The sequence below is a fragment of the Homo sapiens genome, chromosome 9 (genome assembly GCF_000001405.40).
Source record: "Homo sapiens chromosome 9, GRCh38.p14 Primary Assembly".
Lineage (NCBI taxonomy): Eukaryota > Metazoa > Chordata > Mammalia > Primates > Hominidae > Homo > Homo sapiens.
In genome coordinates this window covers 137,262,188-137,283,126 of record NC_000009.12, presented here as the reverse complement: position 1 = coordinate 137,283,126, position 20,939 = coordinate 137,262,188, and the positions used below count along the sequence as shown (strand labels likewise).

Sequence of the window (20,939 nt, the reverse complement as noted above, 5' to 3'; positions counted from 1 at the left end):
ACACAGATCACGAGGGTTACTACGTAATGACACATGGCAGATGTCAAAGAATAACTCAGAGACAACTGCACAGAAACAGTTTCTGCACATATGAGGGAGAGCAGCTATGACATTTGGGATCATCTGGTTAGCTGGCAACTTCCCGCATGTCCAGCCTGGGTCATCTGCCCTCAGCACCTGTCCAGGGCAATTAAAGAAAATACTTTAGTTATTTATGGATTTCCTGGAAAGCCCGGATGTTTGAGCTGCAGACTGCATGTGAGCCCCAATCCTTCCATCAGCCTCCAGGTCCACACCACTTCCCCATTCAGAAGTTTCTCAAAACAAAACAAAAAACAAAACTCTCGATCAGCATGTCCTATTAAATAGAAGCTTAGAGAGAAATGGATAAATCTACCATAAATCTACAATTAGGGAAAGATTTCAGCATCCTCCTCAATTATTAACAGACCAGACAGACAAGAAACAAACCAAACAGTAGGTCGTCAGATTTGAACCACACAATTTATTAACAAGCATGATTTGTGGCCTCGTTTATTACCAGCCCCCACCCCAGCACTTGGTGCACATTCTCCTTAAGCGCAGAATTTGGCCTCAAGGTAATATTTTAGGAATAAATAAAAAGAGGCCGGGCACGGTGGCTCACACCTGTAATCCCAGCACTTTGGGAGGCCGAGGTGGGCGGATCACGAGGTCAGGAGTTCGTGACTAGCCTGGCCAACATAGTGAATCACCGTCTCTACCAACAATACAAAAAAATTACCCGGGCGTGATGGCGGGCGCCTGTAATCCCAGCTACTCGGGAGGCTGAGGCAGGAGAATCGCTTGAACCCAGGAGGCAGAGGTTGCAGTGAACCGAGATCGTGTCATTGCACTCCAGCCTGGGCAACAAGAGCAAAACTCTGTGTCAAAAAAAAAAGAAAGAAAGAAAGAAAGAGATAAAATTTCCCCTTAGGTCTGGACCTTTTGATACAAGCCGATGCTCAGCGGGTGTTGTTGACTGACAGGTGGATGAATGGCCCACGCTTGCCGGCAGGTGACACCTCCAGGTGGGTGCTCTGTGGGAAGGGGAGCTGACAGTCCTGGGGGTCCTGCCTGGGGAGCAGTGGGCACCCCAACATTCACCCATGCAGGGACTGGCAAACACACCCCCACTCTGCAGCTCTCTCTGTTACCACCTTGAAGCCAACACGAAGGCCAGACCAGAGCTGGGTGTCCCTCTGTGTGGGCTCCTGGGACAGATACTCGCCTGGGAGAGGTGGGGCTCCTTCTCCCAGCTCCTTCCCCTAGCCCTGGGGTTGGGGTGGACAGAGCTGGGCTGAACTCAGCCCTGGTTCCCAGCGCTGGCTAGCCGGTCCTGCACAGCCCCAGGAGGCAAAGGTTTCCTGGTAGCCCCCACCCCCACCCCGTGGAGCCGGACCCCTCCCCAAGACTCCAGGAGCAGCGGGAGTCCTCAGGACCCTCTGGGCAGGACGGGGCAGCCCTCTCGCTAGCGCTCCCGCCCTGGGCCCAGGACCTGCGCGCCGAGCTCGAGCTCCGCGGAGCCGCTGCCATCCGCCCAGAGATCCCAGACTTTCAAGCGGCCTGAATCCCCGTCTCCACTAGACGGCCCTCGCCCCCGACCACAGACACCAACCACCAGGGCGAGAATGGATGCGAGGCGGGGGAGAGAACAGGACACCCTCCGGGAAGCCGCAGGACCTCTGCTCAGGGAACTAGCGGGGCCCCTCCGGGGACACCGGCGCTGGTGGGCGCGGTCTCCGGGCTGAGTTCAGGCCTCGGGGCCGGAGGAGTCCCACTTGCCAGGGGCGCCCGCCGTGTGCGCTCGACTCGGGGCTTCCGGCGCGGCCCCGCCTCCACCTTCGCGGTGCCCCCACCTCGACGGCGCCCCGCACCGGCGTGAAACCTCCTCGCTGCCCTCTGAGCCCCTTTCGGGACTGGTCATCGCCGCCCCTGCGCTCCTCCCGGGCAGGCCCGGGTTGGGACTGCAGCGGGGCCGGCGGCGGGGACAGAGGATCGGGGCGGCCTGGGGGACTCAGGGCCCAGCCGCGCGCTCAGCCCCCGGCGACCACAGAAGCCACCGGCTGGGCCGGGCGCGCCACAAGGCGGCAGCAGCGGGGCTGCCGGGTGCGTCCCAGACACCGGGGCTGTGGGAGGAGGCGAGAACCGTCCCGAGGCAACCGCCGGCCCCGAGGAGACATGGCGCAAAAAACGCCCAAAGCACCTTCCCCTAAAGCCCCCGTGGGCGCGGTGGGCCCATCCACGGGAGGCGTCCAGGAGGGCTTCCGGGAGGCGGCGCGTGGGGAGTGTGGGGTGTGGGGTCGACTGGCGTGGGGAGGGCGCTCTGCGCAGAGGGTGCGGGTGGGCGGAACTCGGGGCACAAAAGGCCCCAGGGAAAGGGAGGTCGCGCAATCGTGGTGACCAGGGGACTGGCCACGGGCTAAGGGTCCCACGTGCGGAGAAGAGGGGGATGGGGAGAGGCCTAGGCACCTCCCGCTTGCCCCGCGGGCTCTCGGTCACCCAGTAAGCCCAAGCCAGGGCTGGCGGGCCCGGGGTTGGGGGGTCCAGGAAGGAGGGGGAGAGGCTGCCTGAGGCGCCTCCGCCTCCGCTCCCCTCCCCTTACTGTCAAGACACTCCAGCCTTGAGCTCCTGAAAACACGACCTGAGTGAGGGGTGGGGTGGGTGGAGAAGGCAGCCAGAGCCCCAGCACTGTCATGGTTGGCTGTGGCCTCCTCCGGGGTCATCTCCAGGGGGGCCGGAATGAGAACCCCACTTCAGCACTGAGCAACACGCGACCACCCCCAAGAGGCGGGGTCACGTCCCAGCTGTGTGACCCCGGGAATTGTTGGCCCTGAGATCATCCTTGTACCATGGGAACCCACCTCTTGGGGCCACAGGGAGAACGCACCAGACCATGCCTGGGACGCCCAGCAGGGCAATGGGCAAGTTTGGGAGGGAGGTGGCTGCTGTCCTGCCGCCCCCAGGGACAGACTCCGGACTCTGAGGCGGGTGTGGACCTGGAAGCAGAGCTCCAAGCTGATCCGCACCCACCAGCCGGGCAGCCACAAATTCACTAGAAACCTCAGGGGCCTGCACCAGCCCACAAGGTCCCTGGTCGCCCTCCTACTGCCGCCATCAACCCAAACGTCCCGTCCTGCGCCTCCACTACAGGAGGTTCACCGTGGCCACCACCTGCTTGCAGCCGGTGACGGCAAACTCGCGGCCAGCCACGCGGTAGAAGCTGAGCTGCGCGGCCAGGTTCTCCGCGCGGGCCTGGTCAGGAAAGAAGCCCTCACCCGCCATCTCGTCCCGGAAGCAGCTGACCACATCCCGCTTGTCCAGCAGCAGAAACGGCACGATGGCCGCGGCCTGCCACAGCGGATGCTCCCGGGACAGCACAGCCAGCAGGCTGGCGCGCAGGTCTTCTTCCGCCTGCGCCGCTGCGGCCTCGGCACTGCGGAAGCCGTCGGGGCGCAGGGGCAGCGCGCGGGACGCGTTCTGCAGCACGAAGCGCGTGACCTCGGCGCCACCCGCGCCACTGAGGAGCACGTAGATGGCGTTGTGGAAGTGGTGGGAGCGCTGCGGCTGCAGGAAGCCGTGCAGCTCGTCCAGCAGCGGCCGCGGCATGAGCTCCACGTCGTCCAGCACCAAGAGTGGGGTCTTCTCCTCCGCTTCGGCCCGCGCCACCACGTCGGCCACGCGCCGCGCCAGCTCCTCGCGGCAGTCCTGTGCGGCGCGCGCCTCGGGGCAGTGGTGCCGCGCATGGTATTGCAGCACGAGCGCGCTGTCCTCCAGCACCGAGCGGAAGTGGCGCGCCAGCAGGCGGCCCACGTGGCTCTTGCCCACGCCACTGGGCCCGTGCAGCGCCAGGAGGAGCGGACGACTGTGCACATGCGTGGCCAGGTAGTCCCGCATCAGCGCCACGATGCGCGATACGGCAGCGGGCTGGCCGAACACCGCGCGCTGCAGCGCTTTCTCCAGCCCGTCGAGGTCATAGCGCTGCGCGTTATCGTCCAGGTTCTCGATAGCGTTGAGAACTTGGAAGCCCACGATGGCGACTAGCAGCAGAAGGCAGCGCTGCGCGCGGCTCCTGTGCTCCACGCGCGGCCGATACTTGCGCGAGGTCTCCGGGTAAAGCACCAGGCGGCTGCGCCGGCGCTTCTTGCGTGGCGTCCTGGAGGGTAGCTCCGCGGGGCTGTCGAAGGTGAAGAACTTTGGCTGGTCCAGGTCCGCGCGCGGTGCCCGGGGGCTGCAGCCCGGCCTGGGCGCCCCGGTCCCGACGTCGGGCCCCCCACCCGGCTGCAGGAGGCGCCGTTTGCGTAGGACACACACCCGGCGGCGCAGGCGGAGCACAGCGCGCACGGGCGCGATCACGCACCGGCCCGAGGCTCGGGGGGCCGCGGCAGCAGGCTCCAGGCTGGGCTGGCCGCGGTCCATGTCGCAGGAACGGCGCTCCGCATACAGGTCGCCCTCCCTGCAACGGGAAGACGGGGAGGGTCTCTGGACTCCCGCCACTGCCCTTTCCCGCGGGCCGCCGGAACCGGTCCCCGGAGTGATCTTACCCCCTGGGAGTCCCGTGGGGTGCGGCCCGGGCTGCCCCAGGGCCAGGGGCCTGGTCGCGGCCTCGCCCCTCAGACCGGCAAGCGACCCCTCCGCCCCTCCGCCCCTCCGCCCCTCCGCAGGGCCCCGATGCAAATCTCTCGGGTCTTCCCATAAACGGCCGCGGGCCTTGAGGAAGTGGCGGGGTAGAGGCTTATCTGGTGGCCGCCCCGGCTTCCTGGAGGAGTCGTCGAAGGAGTCAGTGGCCGCCCAGGCGCCCACTGGGGTGAACAGTCACCCCCGGACCCTGCCCCCGCCCGCGGCTCCCACTGGACTGGGCCGTCTCCCAAGGAGGGGCCGCGGGAAGCAGAGGCCTGAGCGCCCAGGAGTTCAGAGACGCCCCCACACGCTCCAGAACACTTGGCGGGGGTCTGGCTGGAACTTATGATTTTGAGAATAGGCCCGGGCCCCGTCCCCAGGCTCAACCCAGGCCTCCCAGCCCCGACTCCAAAACTGGGGTCCTCCCAACACCCCTCCAGTGAACGAGCTGAGCAGTGCAGGGAGCCCCCCGGAGACTAGTGGAGGTGAAACGAAAAGATGGACAGAAAGAAGAGGCCGGTCGGAGCAAGAGAGCCACTGACTGGCAGGAACTGGGCCCTGGGCCCCAACCCACCCCCTACCTGCAGCTGGTCCACTGCCCTCAGCTCCGCAGGCCCCTGCCTGTGCCAGACGCTGGGGCCTGAGACTCCAAGCAGGAAATGCGCCTCCCAGGGCGAGGGGGTGGGCCAGGGGCCTCCTGGGCCAGCTTCGGCCTGGAGGGGCAGCGACACCTGTGGGTCCCCAGGGAGCGGCCGGCCGGAGTAGAGGAAGCTCTGGGGAGGTTTCCGCTTCTATGCAAAGGAAGTGAGTCAGGGGGTGCGGCCCAGGCGGGACTTGGGCTGGACGGAGGCGCCAAAGGGGGGAGGCCTGGCCGGCTTGCCCAGATCCCCTGGCCGGAGGTCACATTCCCGCTTCAGTTCTCTAGCGCTCAGAGCCCTCCTGGCTTGGTCAGGCTCAGGACACCTGGTGAGGCCGAGGGCCCCTGCTGCATGCTGTGCCCCCACCCTGGGCTCCTGCACCTCAGCCTGTCCTCCAGGGCCCCCACCTCCCCCAGGTTATCCCTTCCACCTGTCACCCCACACACAGGGCTTACAGCTGGGGGGAGGGGCTCCAGGCCCTGTGTAAGCAAGGCGGGAGCAAGGCAGCAGCACAGGGGGCGGGCAGGGTCCTCTGCCGAGCTGCATACCCCCAATCCCTCTCTTATTACTCCTCTCCCCGCTTTTTCATTCCCCTCCTGACCCCAATCGGGGGCCCCCCAAAGTGGGCTCATTGTCTTTCCTTTCCCCCTTCCTCCGTCCCCAGCCTGGAGCCCCCTGCCCAGGACAGGCCAGCACACACAGACGGAAGTTCTATCACGGAAAAAACCACGTGCGGCTCAGGGTCCCTGTGGGGGTTGGGGAACAAATTTAGAAACAACTTGGGCCGGGAGCCAGGAGCTGGAGCTCTGGGCCCTTCCCCCTGCCGGCCTGCCTAAAGGACCCTGGACTCCTCCTACCCTGGCCCAGCCTGGAAGCCGCCTTCCAAGGAGGGGCAAGGTGGCCGCTCCAGCCACACCAGTGCTGCTGGCATTCAGCTCAGGACCCCGCAGTCCCAGGGACGCCCCACTCCTCCCAACAGCCAGCCCGGGCCTGATGGTTCCAGCTGTATATTCCTCACACACTGCACCCAACCAGACAGGCTCCATCAGGGAAACCGGTCGTGGGTTGGGGGTTTCCATTCTCTCCAGGGTATGGGGTCCACCGGACTATCACGCTCCCCTCCAGGAGCCAGGCCTAGGGCTCCCCTCCCCTGTGCAAGGGGTGCTCGGGGGCCCGGATCCCCAATTGTCGAGGCCGCGGGGGCCGCACACACCAGGTGGAATGCTGGTGCTCTTTGGGCCCACTCCCCGGCCTCTGTGGGACCAGAGCGGAAGGAGGTTGGCTGTCCAGGCCCCGTGGCCCCAGCACGGAGGTTGGGGTCCTTTGGGGGCCTCAGGCTTTGAGTCTCGGTGCTTCTTCTGACACAGAGAGGACCCTGGAGGGGAGGCCCTCGGGCAGATGCAGGCTGACCGAGCCCTGGAAAACCTGCAGCAAAGCCTCTGCCCTGCCTCCAAGTGCACCCAGGGCTGGAGCTGCTTCTGCCAGAGGCTGGCCCAGCAAATCCTCAGGCCAGAGCCCTCTGCAGGAAAGGGACTCGCTCAAGGGGTGCCCCAAGACCTGGCCCTATGGGTCAAAGGTGAATCTGAGGCCTGGGCCAAGGCCTCACCCCCTGCACTTTCTCCCATCTACAGGGGTGAAGGGAGCCCCAGAACCCCAGCTCCCAGGGCCATCACCATCTCCTGTGATACCCAGGGCCACCCCCAATCACACCCATTCCCATTCCAGGAGGCCTCCCCTCCCGCCTCCCTACCCAACCCAGCCCTGCCGCTGCGCCCAGAATTCATGTCCATCACCCACAAACACAGTACATGTTCTCAGCCTCTGAAAGGACTTCACCCTCACTGCTTCCCCCAGCCCTTGCCAGCAAGGTTGTTTTCCCCAAACCGTGGGCAGCCTCCCCACTTCTCCTCCCAAATTCCCCATAGGTTTCACTTCACCAGACGATGCCTCCCGTGCCTGGGCCCTCGGTCCTCCCCTACCAAGTCCTTCTCCCTAACTTCCCAGCAGCGTCCACACCCAGTCGCTCAGGCAGCTCTGCTCTTTCTGCCCCTAAAGGCTTTCGCTACAGTAACCATGCGCCCCCGAGGCTCAGCCGTCCACGCACGGTCCCATCCCAGTCCTTGCAATTCACACCCTCCACCTCACCAGTCCCTCACCCACGGGCTCCTCACTCTCTGTCCTTCACTCCCCACCCGTAGGCCTGGCACCCCCTGCAGGCGCCCTGGACAGGACGCGCCCGCTGCCCAGTGACCAAACCAGGCACCCGGGTCCACTCACTGACCATTCCTCCTACAGTCAAGTCCTCTACTCGTCCTCTCCCCTGCCACTTCCCCCTATCCTGCCTCCTAGCCCAAGACCTGAGAAAATGGGAGGCAGCAGCAGTGGACTCCCAGTGTCTCCTCAGCCGTCACCCCAGCATCTGCGCCCATCAGCCCTCCTCTGAGGACACCCCTGCTGTGCTGAGACCCCGGCCACCTGCTCATTCAGTGACAGCCCAGCCCCTGGACCATCCTCCACTCCTCACCCTACTGGGTCATTCCCATCAGCCCAGAAACATCTATTTCTTCTATCTTTAAAAAAAAACCAGGCCGGGCGCGGTGGCTCACGCCTGTAATCTCAGCACTTTGGGAGGCCGAAGCAGGTGGATCACAAGGTCAGAAGATCGAGACCATCCTGGCTAACACAGTGAAACCCCGTCTCTACTAAAAATACAAAAATTAGCCGGGCGTGGCGGCATGTGCCTGTAGTCCCAGATGCTGGGGTGGGGGGGGCGCTGAGGCAGGAGAATGGTGTGAACCCGGGAGGCGGAGCTTGCAGTGAGCCAAGATTGCGCCATTGCACTCCAGACCGGGCGACAGAGCGAGACTCCATCTCAAAAAAAAAAAGCAAAAAAAGCACGCACTCCTGGCCGGAACTGACCTTCATCCCACTCCTTAGTGCCTCTCAGCTGGGTCTCCAGGCCTCTCCTGCTTCCTCAGCTCTCCCTCCAAAGCACTGTTCCTCAGCCCCTCCTCCCTGGGCTGTGGGGCACCCAATCTGCTGCCAGCTGCCACCCCCCCGCCCCAGCTGGCCAGGAAGGCCCGCCCAGAGCACACGGCTGCTCTCCCTCACCTGGGCTGATCTGGCCCAGTCAGTAGCTCAAACACCACTCCCTATGACAGCATCCAGATCCACAACCTGGCCCCAGTCTCTTCTGAGCTCCACAGCCCCAAACCCATTGCATGTGCCTGTCAGACAAGCCCTTCATCTTCCCGTCACAGCCCACCTGGGCAGGTTCAGAGCCCTGGACCCTCCAAGACTCCTCTGCTGCTCACACCTACCCAGAACCTGCGCCCTCCACCCACCAGCCAGGCCAGCCCCAGACACCCAGCCTCACCTGGGTCCCCAGCTCCCAACCAAAGCCCTCAGGCTGGGACTTCTCCGCCTGCCCTGGGGCTCTTGGAGAGACATGACTGGATAAACTGAGGCATGGATCCGGCAGTGTAGACCACAATAAACTGAGGCACAGATCTCCCAGTGTAGACCACAAGCCCCATGCACAGGTGCAACAGAGTCCCAGGCGTCCCTGGCTCTGCCCCAGAGGATACCAGCTCAGAGACTCCCATACCCACGAGATCCCAGCACCATGGGCTTGTCTCACCCAACAGGTCCCAACCTGCTCAGCTGTGGCCTCACACTCCAGGGAGGCGAGCTCGCCAACAGGCGTCTCTGAGGACACGGTGACACCTGGCAGCCAGGCTATCGCCCCTGCATGCTGCGAGCCAAGGACAGTGACACCTGGCAGCCGGGCCATCGCCCCTGCATGCTATGAACTGCTGCCCGGCTTTGAGGTCTCATCTGCTGGAAATGGCCCTGGCTCTGTGCCTGTGACCCATGGCACATCCTGGGCCTCCAGGGCTCCTGTCCCTGGTGTGCACCAGGAGGTGAGAGGTGCCCCCTGGAATCGCAGGACAAAAACAAAGCAGCTGATCTGCGTCTTAGGGGCACCAAAGCCCCGAGGGTGAGGGCTTCCTGCCAACCTCCCTCAGAAATTATTATATCATCCTCCCCCAGAAATTATATCAACCTCCCCCAGAAATTATTATATCCTCCCCCAGAAATTTTATCAACCTCCCCCAGAAATTATTATATCAACCTCCCCCAGAAATTATTATATCGTCCCCAGCTGCTGGTCACAGACAGGGCTGAGCAGTCCAGAGAGGCTGTGGCCCACAAAGCCCCAAGTATTGGCTCCATAGCACAAATGCCTGTGTCCATCTGAGCTACATCCAACCTCAGGGCAGGCACAGAGACATCTCAGCCTCCACGTTTACCAAAATGCCTTTTATTTACATACGAGAAAATCTCACCGTGTGTCCAGCTGGCCCCGTCACGGCCGCTGAAGGCAGCACTGCTGGGCAAGGAGAAACAAGGCCACACCTGCAAACTGGGCTGCAGGGTGAGGTGGCTCCCTCCGCACAGGCCCCAGGACACCCACCATGGCACAGGCCAGGCTGCTGCCCCCACACGGCCTCCACGAGGTCACGGGTCCATCTCCACAACCCCAAGGCAGTAAGCAGTGTGCCTCGCTTTCGCCAAGCTGGGCCAATGAAGAGGCCCCGCCCCCACCCTCAGGCCCCGCCCTCTCCCCTTGGAAAACAGGTGGTTTTTTCCTAACACAGGAAAACAGAAAATGAGCACGCTTTCTATGGCTGCCAAAGTACAAGGAGAGGCTCTGCCCTGGGAGCCACTGCATGGATGGTGGGCAAGGTCCGGGAGCCAGCTCCAAGGAGCAGGAAGCAGGGGGCCATGACGGCAGGACAGGCCCAGCCATAGCCCCGGGAAGAGAGACTGCCCTGTACATCCAGGTCCGGGAGCCTCTTCCGGCTGAGCAGGGCCGCGACTCGGCATGGCCCCAGCACCCGAGCAGGTCTGGAGGGCCCTCAGAGCGGGGCAGGGGCGGGCACGCTGGGGAGGGGCAGCTCCAGGGCCGGCGTCTCCGCAGCCTGTGCCGGGCTGGGCTTCCGGTGATCCAGCTGTTCCAGCTTCTCGCCGAGCTGGGAGTAAAGCTCCTTCACTGCCTCTCCGCTCTGCGGGGAACCACACCATGGGGCAGGCGAGGCGCATGGGCAGGCCCAGGGGGCACAGGGGTGGGTGCCCACCGACCACACACAAGCACCACAAGGGCAGCTTGGCAAGCACACACGGGCTGGTAGGGACCAGGTGCCTTCAGATGCAGCCCCCCCGGGCACCCACCTGGCCTGTAGGCTCCAGGGCCTTCTGCAACGCCTCCAGCTTAGACGGGGCCACCCTGGGGTGCAGGTGAATGAGGAGCCGCAGCGCGTGCCGGTGCACGTTCTCCTTCCTGGAAAAGGCCGTGCAGGGCTGGGGCAGGAGGCAGGCCCTGCTGTCTGCCCAGGCCCAGCCCAGATGCAGGTGGCCAAGGCCCCTGGAGACAGGACATGGCCAGCCTTTGGGACCCTCCCCAGCTGTGCCCAGGCACCCTGCAGGGCCACATGCGAGCCCTGGTGCCCAACAGACCCACCTGCGGACCCTCCGCCCCAGGCTGGGGACAGCAGCCACCTCTCAGGCTGCTACGGACAAGAGCTGAGAGGACAGAGCGGGCCGGATGGTACCCAGCAGGCCTACCTTGGAGAGGCGGTGAGGAAGAAGCCATCGAAGAGGCTGCTGCAGAAGTCCTCAAGGGCAAATTCGTCGGCCAGCAGCGCAAGGTTGCCCGTGAGCAGGTGGAGGAAGATGTCGCCAAAGGCCAAGTCGCCAAAGGTCTCCACTGCAGACACAGCAGGCATCAGCCCAGTGCCACTCACCCTGCCCACCCCAGAGGGCACCCTTGTCCTCAAAGACCTCAGAACCTACTTCTGGGGGTGCTCACATGAGAGTTCTCAGTTGTTCTGAGATGAGAAGCACAGGGTCTCAGCAGGTGAAGAGGGGGGTGGGAAGTGGACAGAGGCAGGCAGGGGGTGGGACCTGTGGCAGGGAAGCAGAGCTGCAGCCCAGGGACAGGAGGGTGGAGGGAGGGGGAGACAGCCCAGGGACAGGAGGAGGGTGGAGGGAGGGGGAGACAGCCCGGGGACAGGAGGAGGGTGGAGGAAGAAGGAGACAGAAAAACGAGGTGCTCCTCCAGTCCCAAAAGGCCTTGCCCAGCAGCCGAGCCCAGGAGAAACAAGCCTAACAAATACAGGGCCGGCGCCAGCTGCAGAGAGTTCTCCCTGACTGCCAGCTACACTGAACCACAGGAAAGAGAACGAAACTCTTCCACATTCTTTTCTGAAGCCAGACACCAAAACACAACAAAGACAGCATTCGTGCCCACAGACGCCTCACGTGCGACCACAGCACAGAAGCCACGGTGTTGGCAGACATTTGCCAAGAGCCAGCACAACGCCCCAAACGGGGCCCCTGCAGGGAGGGAGGGCGGCCGCCTGCAGACTGATGCCTGAAGGAGCTGTGGCCAGGCCACATGGAGGTGACGTGTGCGGACAGGTTGAGGATGGCCTTCCTAGTATCCCGGATGGGGCCTTTATGAGGACAACCCAGCTGGCGCCACCTGCGCCCAGAGTGACAGAAACATTTCCAGGAGACCCAGGCCCCCGAGGTGCCTGCCTGCCACATCTCACAGGGCCTTGGCCGGCCACATGGCCAGGTGGCCACGGGACACGTGGCAGGCACACAGTCCCGACCAGGGGATCCAGCAGCAAGGCCCCACTGGGCAAATGCCCTGATTCCTGCAACTCCGGGGAACCCAAGACTGCGAGACAGGAGAGGGGACAGCAGGCGCATCCCAACCCTGACGGGACCGTCCACACAGCAGGCAGGAGACACCTGGAGAAGCGCAGCCACTGTCAGGCAGTCAGTCGGCAGAGGAGCGGCAGTGAACCTGGCTCAGATGTGACAGTGGCCCGTGGTCCGTGGTCACTGGTTTTTATTTTTTTTGAGAAGAGTCTCACTCTGTTAGCCAGGCTGGAGTGCAGCGGTGCAATCTCAGCTCACTGCAACCTCCACCTCCCGGGTTCAAGCGATCCTTCTGCCTCAGCCTCCCTCAGCTGGGATTACACGCGTGCGCCACCGCGCCGGGCTAATTTTTCTATTTTTAGTAGAGATGGGGTTTCGCCACATTGGCCAGGCTGGTCTGGAACTCCTGACCTCAGGTGATCCGCCCGCCTCGGCCTCCCAAAGCGCTGGGATTACAAGGTGAGCCACCATGCCTGGCCAGTTTTTTAAAGGCATTTAAAGACAGTCTTATTTTTTATTTGTTTTTTTTGAGACGGAGTCTCGCTCTGTCACCCAGGCTGGAGTGCAGTGGTGCAATCTCGGCTCACTGCAACCTCTGCCTCCTGGGTTCAAGCGATTCTCCTGCCTCACCCTCCCGAGTAGCTGGGACTACAGGCATGCGTCACACACGCGGCTAATTTCTGTATTTTTAATAGAGATGGGATTCCACCATGTTGGCCAGGCTGGTCTGGAACTCCTGACCTCAGGTGATCCACCCGCCTTGGCCTCCCAAAGTGCTAGGATTACAGGCATGAGCCACCAAGCCCGGCTCCCCGCCCTTTTTTTTTTTTTTTTTTTTGAGACGGAGTCTGGCTTTGTCGCCCAGGCTGGAGGGCAGTGCCGTGATCTCGATTCACTGCAACCTCTGCCTCCCAGGTTCAAGCGATTCTCCTGTAAACGCATCCTTCTTTTGTAGAGATGCCTACGTCTGCAGCCTGCATGCTGTGATGTCTCAGATTTACACCCAGACATCGTGCTGAGGGACAGGCGGCCACACGCAGACCCCACGTGGACCCCGGGGAGGTTGGAGATGGTGCTGGGTCCTCACCGTACCATGCTCTTGACTTCGTATTCTTTCACAAATTCCCACCACAAAATGTTAAAAAATAAACAGGAGAGAATTCTAAAAATCAACATCCATTCTTACTAGAACCCGCTAAAAACTTAAGAACACGCGTGCTCTCCCCAAATGTGACTGAAAATGCACATCCCACCCCGTGGGGCAGCCACGTACTCCGAGAAGCTGCACTCCTGGTTCCCAGCCTGTTTCTAGCCACAATCAAATGAGAGAAAGAAACAGAAGCGCACGGAAGGCCTCCCAGGTGAGTCTGTCATTGTGCGAACTCCACAGTGACTGACACAAATCCAGAAGGTGCCACCCACTGCACACTGGGCTGGGCCATGGCCTCATGCCCCTGAGCTAGACACCTGCACAGCACATGGCTGTACTGAGTACTGAAGGCTGCTGGGACACAATGGCAACTGTGTATCTAAATAGAGAAAGTGGAGTAAAAATACAGTATTGTCAGCTTATGTGACCGCGTGGTCGTATATGTGGTCCACGGTAGACAGAATGTTATGTGACACGTGACTGTACTGCAGTGGGCAGGCCAAGGCAAATTAAAGTTATTTATAACTATGTTCCCGGAAGTCTCAAAAAATAAACAAACCGGCTCTGCCCGGCGGCCGGCAGCACGATGTCCCAATGCCCTCAAGAGCCTCCCTGAGCCTCCAGAAGGAGCGGCAGTGTTGGCACCCGCAGAAGCCCAGGAGGTCATGTCTGCCTGCGCTGTCTAATGCCACTGTCTGTGGTCATTCGTTCCAGCAACAACAGGAAACCCAGGCCCAGGCAACCCAAGCTCAGTGAGAGGATGGCTGGGGACAGGTTAATACCCACAGGTAACTTCCTCCACAAAGAAAGCTGGAAAACGCATGCACGCGCCATCCTCAAACACACCAGCCACCGAGAAACACAATAGGCACGTGCTGTGGTGTGGACGTGTCCCCAAGTTCACCATCGGAAACCTGATCCCCAACGCAACACTGCTGAGGTCGTGAGGGCTCCGTCCTCACCAAAGCGTTCTCGCTGTTAGCACAGGAGTGGCTCCTGATAAAAGGGTAAGTGTGGCCCCTTCTCTGTCTCCGTCTGTCTGTGTCTCATCTCTAGCTCTGTCTCTCATCTGTCTCTGTCCTGTGTCTCTCATCTGTCTGTCTCCATGTCTCTCCTGTCTCTGTCTCTCTTACCTGTCTCTCATCTCTCTGTGTCTCATCTCTGTCTCTGTGTCTCTCATCTTTGTCTCTCATCTTGGTCTGTGTGTCTCTGTCTCTCATCTCTGTCTGTGTCTGTCTGTCTCCCCTGCCCGTGCTCTCTTGCCCTCTGCCTTCCACCATGGGATGACACAGCAAAAAGCCCCAGCCAGATGCAGGCCCCTTGACCTCGGACTTCCCATCCCAGCCCGCAGAACTGGGAGAAGTCCCTGCTCTTTGTTTTTTTGAGACGGAGTCTCGCTCTGTCGCCTGGGCTGGAGTGCAATAGTGCAATCTCCACTCACTGCAACCTCCACCTCCCAGGTTCAAGGGATTCTCCTGCTTCAGCCTCCCAAGTAGCTGAGATTACAGGCACCCACCACCATGCCCAACCAATTTTTGTATTTTTTTAGTAGAGACAGGGTTTCACCATGTTGGCCAGACTGGTCTCGAACTCCTGACCTCGTGATCCGCCCGCCTCAGCCTCCCAAAGCACTGGGATTACAGGCCTGAGCCACCGTGCCCGGCCGTCCCTGCCCTTTCTACACTACTCAGTCTCAAGTCTCTGTTAGAGCAGCATAACGTGGACTAAGACAGCAAACCCCAGACAAGGCCTGAGTCAGCAAGGAAGAGCCCAGGGTCTGTGTCACAGTGGGTACCGCAAGGCTAAAGAGGCCCCATCTCCCATGGGACCCACAGCAGGCTAAAGAGGCCCCATCTCCCAGGGGACCTGCAGCTCTACTCTTGAAGGTGCCCATTTGGACCCTTCCTCTTCTTCCTGGCTTGCAACAACCCCTCCCCCGTCAAGGCCCCCAGGAGGAAGTGGGCCTGTCACCACCTGGGGTGGGGCACTGGGGCAGGGGATCTCTCTCCCTCCCCTTTGCTCCATTCTCTGAGCACCTGAGGGGTCCCAAGCCCCTCGCCAGTTAGGATGAAATAAAGACAGCTCTTACATCACCTTTTTGTGGGAAAGCACAAAGTTGAACTCCCTCTCCCTTTCCTAGTAAAATAAACTACAAACAAAAGTAAAAGTGAAAACGAGGCTGGGAGTGGTGGCTCACACCTGTCATCCCAACACTTTGGGAGGCCGAGGCGGGCGGATCATGAAGTCAGGAGTTCGAGACCAGCCCAACCAACATGGAGAAACCCCGTCTCTACTAAAAATACAAAAATTAGCCTGGCACGGTGGCACGCGCCTGTAATCCCAGCTACTCAGGAGGGTGAGGCACGAGAAATCACTTGAACCTAGGAGGCAGAGGCTGCAGTGAGCTGAGGTTGCACCACTGCACTCCAGCCTGGGCGACAGAGCAAGACTCCATCTCAAAAAAAAAAAAAAAAAAAAGGTGAAAACAAAGCTAGCAAAGTTGGAGGTGGGCTGGGGAGACAAGGCAGCTCCTGGGGGCCCTGGGGCCCGCACCCTGGGCAGGACTGCATACGGCAGCTGCCGCAGGGAAGACACAGCCAGGCACCGCCCGTCAGGACTTACCCAGCCCGGGCAGCAGGCGGAGGAGCGCGTTCTTGTTCCTCTGCTTGGTGATGTGCAGGACGTAGTACAGCCCCACCTCGCAGGCCATGCGCTGCTCCTGCAGAAACCTGCGCCCGGGGCGCCATCAGCCCCACCTCAGCCCCACCTCAGCCCCACCTCAGCCCCACACCGACCCCTGCCCAGCCCTGAGGCAGCCCCCTGGGCAACAGTGCCATCCCTGCGCCACGGCCACCCCTGCACCATGGCCCTACAGCCCGTACTTAGTGAAGCTTTCGGGAAGTGTGTTTGGATATGAGACTGGGGCTTTCTCCTCAGCCGGAAGTTTCTGATCCACATTGAAAGTGTAGTCATCCACCAGGAAGGACATGAGCATCGGGAGGAACCTGGTGATGAGCTCTACCTCCTACGAGGAGGGGAGGCCATGAGCGGGCGCGGGCCCGGGCCCTGCCCCACCCCACCCTGACGTGACACACACCCTGCCCCTGGCCCTCCCACTCCCCCAGATACCTCACCGACCCTCCCTCCTCTCCAGGTCCCCAGGTCCCTCTTCCCACCTCCCGAGTCCCCCACCCAGGCCATCTCCTCAAACCCCCTTCTAGGTCTGGACCCACATGGAGTAGTCACCACCTGTGGCCAGCCATGGTCCATGGAGACACCCCCAGAACAAGCCACGGTCCACGGAGACACCCCAGAACCAGCCACGGGCCATGGAGATACCCCAGAACCAGCCAGGGTCCACGGAGACACCCCAGAACCTCCCTGGTGGGCATTTTCCCAAAAGGAAGGTGGGCAGCTCCAGGAAGGAAGCTTTGGGACCAAAGGGGCCTCCACAATCACCTTGCTAGCGCCTCCCCCTCCACCCCACTTCCAGCCCACAACCCCTCGTAGGAAACTGGCAGCCCCCACAGGAGGCTCGTTACCATCTTGGGCTCCTTGAAGACCTGGCTGTCGATCATGTCCCAGGCTCCCTGGCCCAGCGCCAGCAGCCGGAGCAGCAGCAGGAGGTCGGGGCTGTCCTGTAGGGAGGACGGGCTCAGCGCCTCTCCCAGGCAGCTGTGTCCTGGCCATGGAGCTCCTCTGACCCTACTCGTTACTCAGCAGGATCTCTGGTGCCCATGGCCAGGACCACACGACTGCGATCACCAGCCCCACACACGGGGTGAAACGCAGTCTCACAGCGGGGAAGCACACGCCTCTACCTGGGCCACTGCAGTCCACATCCCCGACCACCAGAGCAGCCAGCAGGGCGGCCACAGGGCCCCAACAGCTGCCTCCACCTGGCCGCTGCTGTCCACACCCTGACCACCCAGAGCAGCCAGCGGAGTGGCCGCATGGCCCCGACAGCTGCTGGCCAAGCCCACACTCACCCTGGGCAGTGTCTCCTGGCCGACCAGCTCCTGCAGGTGCCTGACTGTGCTCAGTGCCAGCGTGTTGATGGCGAAGGGGTCACACAGGATCATGGACAGGTCCCTGGAAGGAGGCCGCCCTGGCATTAATGCGACGCCTGTTGCCCCTCCCTTCAGCGGCACAGTCCTCAGGAGGGGTGGCCTAGGCTGAATTCAGGACTGGCAGCGGGTGCCCATCACATGCTGGGTTTCTTACAAAAAGCTTAAGGATGGCCGAGCGCGGCGGCTCAGCCTGTCATCCCAGCACTTTGGCAGGCCGGGCGCGGCGGCTCAGCCTGTCATCCCAGCACTTTGGCAGGCCGAGGCGGATGGATCACCAGGTCAGGAGACTGAGACCAGCCTGGCTAACAAAGTGAAACCCTGTCTCTACCAAAAATACAAAAAATTAGCCGGGCGTGGTGGTGGTCGCCTGTGGTCCCAGCTACTCGGGAGGCTGAGGCAGGAGAATCACTTGAACCCGGGAGGCAGAGCTTGCAGTGAGCCAGGATCGCGTCACTGCACTCCAGCCTGGGCAAGAGAGCGAGACTCTGTCTCAAAAAAAAAAAAAAAAAAAGCTTAAGGTTTGCAATTTGTCCTTAACCTATTCAAAGATTTTTCAAATTAAAAAGTTAAAAAAACAAACAAAAAAAAGGCTGGGTGTGGTGGCTCACGCCTGTCATCCCAGCACTTTGGGATGCTGAGGCCGGTGGATTGTTTGTTTGAGACTAGCCCGGGCGAGGTGGTGAAATCCCATCTCTACTAAAGATAACAAAAATCGGCCAGGCGCACTGGTGTGTGCCTGTAATCCCAGCACTTTGGGAGGCGGAGACAGCAGGATCAATGCCCAGGAGGTTGAGGGAGACTGTACCACTGCACTAAAGCCTGGGTGACAGAGACCCTGTCTCAGAAAAAAAAAAAAAAAAAAAAAAAGGAAGAAAAAAAGTGGCAAAGGCAGGGCCAGGCAGCACTGTGTCTATACACCAGCCAGAGGATGCTGGAAAGCAAATGCCAATGGATGCCCCTCAGCTCAGAGGCTGACCCCACGCCACTGCAGACACCAGACCCCAGCCCCTGGGCCTGGCTCCAGAATGCAGAGTTGAGGAGGGAGACTTTGCTACCCACACACATCCCGACAACCATGTCCCTAAGCTGTGGGCCAGCAGTGCCCGGCATAGCTCTATTGAAACATCCAGGAGGCCAGGCACGGTGGCGCATGCCTGTAATCCCAGCACTTTGGAAGGCTGAGGCGGGTGGATCACCTGAGGTCAGGAGTTCAAGACAAGCCTGGCCAACATGGTGAAACCCTGTCTCTACTAAAAAATACAAAAATTACCTGAGCGCAGTGGCGCGTGCCTGTAATCCCAGCTACTTGGGAGGCTGAGGCAGGAGAATGGCTTAAGCCTAGGAGGCGGAGGTTGCAGTGAGCAGAGATTGCACCACTGCACTCCATCCTGGGCTACAGAACGAGACTCTGTCTCGAAAAAAACAAAAGAAAAAGCAATATCCGGGAATAAACGCCTGCTACCCACGGCAAAACACAGCAAGCGCAGACCGGATGCACGCAGGGCCCTGAGGGGCAGAGGCCTCGTGGAGCCGACCCTCACCCCAGCACCTGCTCCTGGCCCTTCTTGACGCCATCGAGAAACCCCTGCAGCTCCCGCGCCCTCTTGCTGTCCACGAACCGCTCTCGGATGCAGGCGTCCAGGCACCAGGTGAACTGCAAGGAGGAAGCACGGTCGGGACCAGCCCAAACCTCCCAGGATGACCAGAGACCCAGGCCCCAAACACAGCTCCAGGCCCTGGCCTCTTGTTCAATCATAGCTGCTGCGGGGGGCGGCAGCAGGCACCAGTCATCCTGACGGTGCAGTGTTCCCCACACCTCCCGGCCAAAGCAGCAGGGTCAGGACAGTGGTGGAGAAAGTGATGATGTTTCTTTCTAAAAACGGACTCCTTCATGGCACCCTGAGTGTGGGGGTGGCCACTGCAGCACTCCAAGCAATGGAAGCCTCGGAGGGTGACTCCCAAGTCCCGGAAAGATGGTCTCAGGGCTGGAGGGTCCGTATGAAGGGAAACCCCGTTCCTAGAGCACTTGGTACCTGGCCAACAAGCAGCACCCAGGGTTCTGGGGAAGGGGAGGGCCACAGGCCAGGTGGAAAGATGGGAGGAAGCTGGGGCAATGGTCAAGGTCCAGCCCGTAGGTCATACAGCCCTCGGGAACACAGAAAGGGCTGGACGGGGCAAGGGAGTCCCCGGGAACGGCCAGGTCTCTGGCTCAGATGCAGGGGACTAGCCTCCTTCCCCCATCAGGGTCTGGAGAGAAGCCAAAGGGCCAGCACACAGGACAGAAAGACCAGAGCCCAGGAAACAGGCATGGGAGAGAAGGGCGCCCAGGTGGTCCCGGGCCAAGCCAAACCCACGGAGAGGAGAGGAGCCAGGAGGGCCAGGGGGAAGGAGGGAGGGCAATGCTACCTTCAGGAGGGGCAGAGGGGGAAGGAGAGAGGGCCGGGGAGTTGGGGGGAAGGAGGGAGGGAGGGCAGCGCTACCTTCAGGAGGGCGGAGGGGGAGGAGGGAGGGCCGGGGAGCGGGGGAGAAGGGAGAAGGAGGGAGGGAGGGAGGGCAGCGCTACCTTCAGGAGGGCAGTGGGGGAAGGAGGGAGGGCCGGGGAGTGGGAGGGAAGGAGGGAGGGAGGGCAGCACTACCTTCAGGAGGGTAGGGGGGAAGGAGGGAGGGCAGTGCTACCTTGTGGCACGGGTCCACGGTGCAGATTTCACCCACGTCCAGGTCGTGCAGGGACATGAGCAGCTCAGCCCGCAGCGTGCAGTAGTGCACATTCCGCGTGCGCAGGAAGAGCGTGCGCAGAAACTGCAGCACCATGTCGTACAGCTTCACGTTCTTCCCCACCATCCGCGTCAGCCGCTGCACCACCTGCAGCAAGAGGCACTGTCAGGCCCCCAGACCGTCCTGGGCTCCGCCAGACACAGGGACGTCACGCCCGGCGACAGCGCGGCCCTCTCTCTGGACATCTGTCCTTCCTACTTTTTGGCAGAAAACATTCCCTCCTCTCATTAAATATTGGCCCCCAGTCTGATGGTAGCAGGTTCTGTTATTTTTATTTTTTTTATTACTTTTTTTGAGACAAGGCCTTGCTCTGTTGCCCAGGCTCGAGTGCACTGCTGCAACTGTGGCTCACTGCAGCCTTGACCTCCTGGCTCAAGTGATCCTCCTGCCTCAGCCTCCCAAGTAGCTGGGACTACAATTGCATGCCACGACACCCAACTGTGGGCAGCAAGCCACCCAGGTGCCAAGGCAAGAGACCAAGGGCACGAGCTGTTCCAGTATAACAAAATATGCAAGAATAGTTATATTAGATATAGATCATAGATATGATTATATTTGAATATTAGTCATTAGCTTGTAGCAATTACTCTTTATTCCAATATTATAACAATCCTCGCTCTACAATCATAATCTAGGAAAAACCAGGCCATACAGAGATAGGAGCTGAGGGGACATAGTGAGGTGTGACCAGAAGACAAGAGTGCGAGCCTTCTGTTATGCCTGGACAGGGCCACCAGAGGGCTCCTTGGTCTAGCGGTGACGCCAGCATCTGGGAAGACGCCCGTTGCCAGGCGGACCAGGGTCTAGCGGTAGCGAAAAATGTGAAGGAACAACACCCGCTACTTAGCAGACAGGGAAAGGGAGTCTCCCTTTCCCCGGGGGAGTTTAGAGAAAACTCTGCTCCTCCACCTCTTGTGGAGGGCCTGACATCAGTCA

General features: G+C 61.0%; 2 protein-coding genes across 2 annotated transcripts in view, besides 6 other annotated features; both read right to left on the bottom strand.

The window, feature by feature from the left end:
- Positions 1-485: 485 nt before the first annotated feature.
- Positions 486-5,401, bottom strand: TOR4A (torsin family 4 member A). The gene is made up of 2 exons (NM_017723.3): positions 5,220-5,401; positions 486-4,474 (listed from the first exon to the last, which is right to left on the bottom strand). Exon 2 carries the CDS (start codon positions 4,435-4,437, stop codon positions 3,166-3,168), a length of 1,272 nt encoding a protein of 423 aa, NP_060193.2. The 5' UTR covers positions 4,438-4,474; positions 5,220-5,401; the 3' UTR covers positions 486-3,165.
- Positions 1,936-2,175: a silencer, noted in NCBI's record as "silent region_20606". NCBI's record gives its function as "represses an Ori minimal core promoter by ATAC-STARR-seq in GM12878 lymphoblastoid cells {active_cell/tissue: GM12878}" and the evidence as "EXISTENCE:reporter gene assay evidence [ECO:0000049][PMID:35858748]".
- Positions 4,841-4,900: a silencer, noted in NCBI's record as "silent region_20605". NCBI's record gives its function as "represses an Ori minimal core promoter by ATAC-STARR-seq in GM12878 lymphoblastoid cells {active_cell/tissue: GM12878}" and the evidence as "EXISTENCE:reporter gene assay evidence [ECO:0000049][PMID:35858748]".
- Positions 5,181-5,500: a silencer, noted in NCBI's record as "silent region_20604". NCBI's record gives its function as "represses an Ori minimal core promoter by ATAC-STARR-seq in GM12878 lymphoblastoid cells {active_cell/tissue: GM12878}" and the evidence as "EXISTENCE:reporter gene assay evidence [ECO:0000049][PMID:35858748]".
- Positions 8,142-8,321: an enhancer, noted in NCBI's record as "active region_29349". NCBI's record gives its function as "activates an Ori minimal core promoter by ATAC-STARR-seq in GM12878 lymphoblastoid cells {active_cell/tissue: GM12878}" and the evidence as "EXISTENCE:reporter gene assay evidence [ECO:0000049][PMID:35858748]".
- Positions 9,585-20,939, bottom strand: part of NELFB (negative elongation factor complex member B) — an 18,216-nt gene continuing 6,861 nt past the window's right edge. The window contains exons 5-13 of the mRNA NM_015456.5: positions 19,905-20,090; positions 18,770-18,882; positions 17,148-17,250; positions 16,701-16,796; positions 16,041-16,183; positions 15,781-15,887; positions 10,905-11,046; positions 10,512-10,620; positions 9,585-10,345 (exon numbers count right to left, since the gene is read on the bottom strand). Of these exons, the coding sequence (NP_056271.3) occupies positions 10,199-10,345; positions 10,512-10,620; positions 10,905-11,046; positions 15,781-15,887; positions 16,041-16,183; positions 16,701-16,796; positions 17,148-17,250; positions 18,770-18,882; positions 19,905-20,090 (1,146 nt within the window). The 3' untranslated portion in view covers positions 9,585-10,198. The remainder of the gene's footprint in view (positions 10,346-10,511; positions 10,621-10,904; positions 11,047-15,780; positions 15,888-16,040; positions 16,184-16,700; positions 16,797-17,147; positions 17,251-18,769; positions 18,883-19,904; positions 20,091-20,939) is intronic.
- Positions 11,383-11,882: an enhancer, noted in NCBI's record as "H3K4me1 hESC enhancer chr9:140165697-140166196 (GRCh37/hg19 assembly coordinates)". NCBI's record gives its function as "activates a minimal SCP1, AML or CMV promoter by ChIP-STARR-seq in naive H9 embryonic stem cells {active_cell/tissue: H9 hESC(naive)}" and the evidence as "EXISTENCE:reporter gene assay evidence [ECO:0000049][PMID:30033119]".
- Positions 19,572-20,131: an enhancer, noted in NCBI's record as "H3K4me1 hESC enhancer chr9:140157448-140158007 (GRCh37/hg19 assembly coordinates)". NCBI's record gives its function as "activates a minimal SCP1, AML or CMV promoter by ChIP-STARR-seq in primed H9 embryonic stem cells {active_cell/tissue: H9 hESC(primed)}" and the evidence as "EXISTENCE:reporter gene assay evidence [ECO:0000049][PMID:30033119]".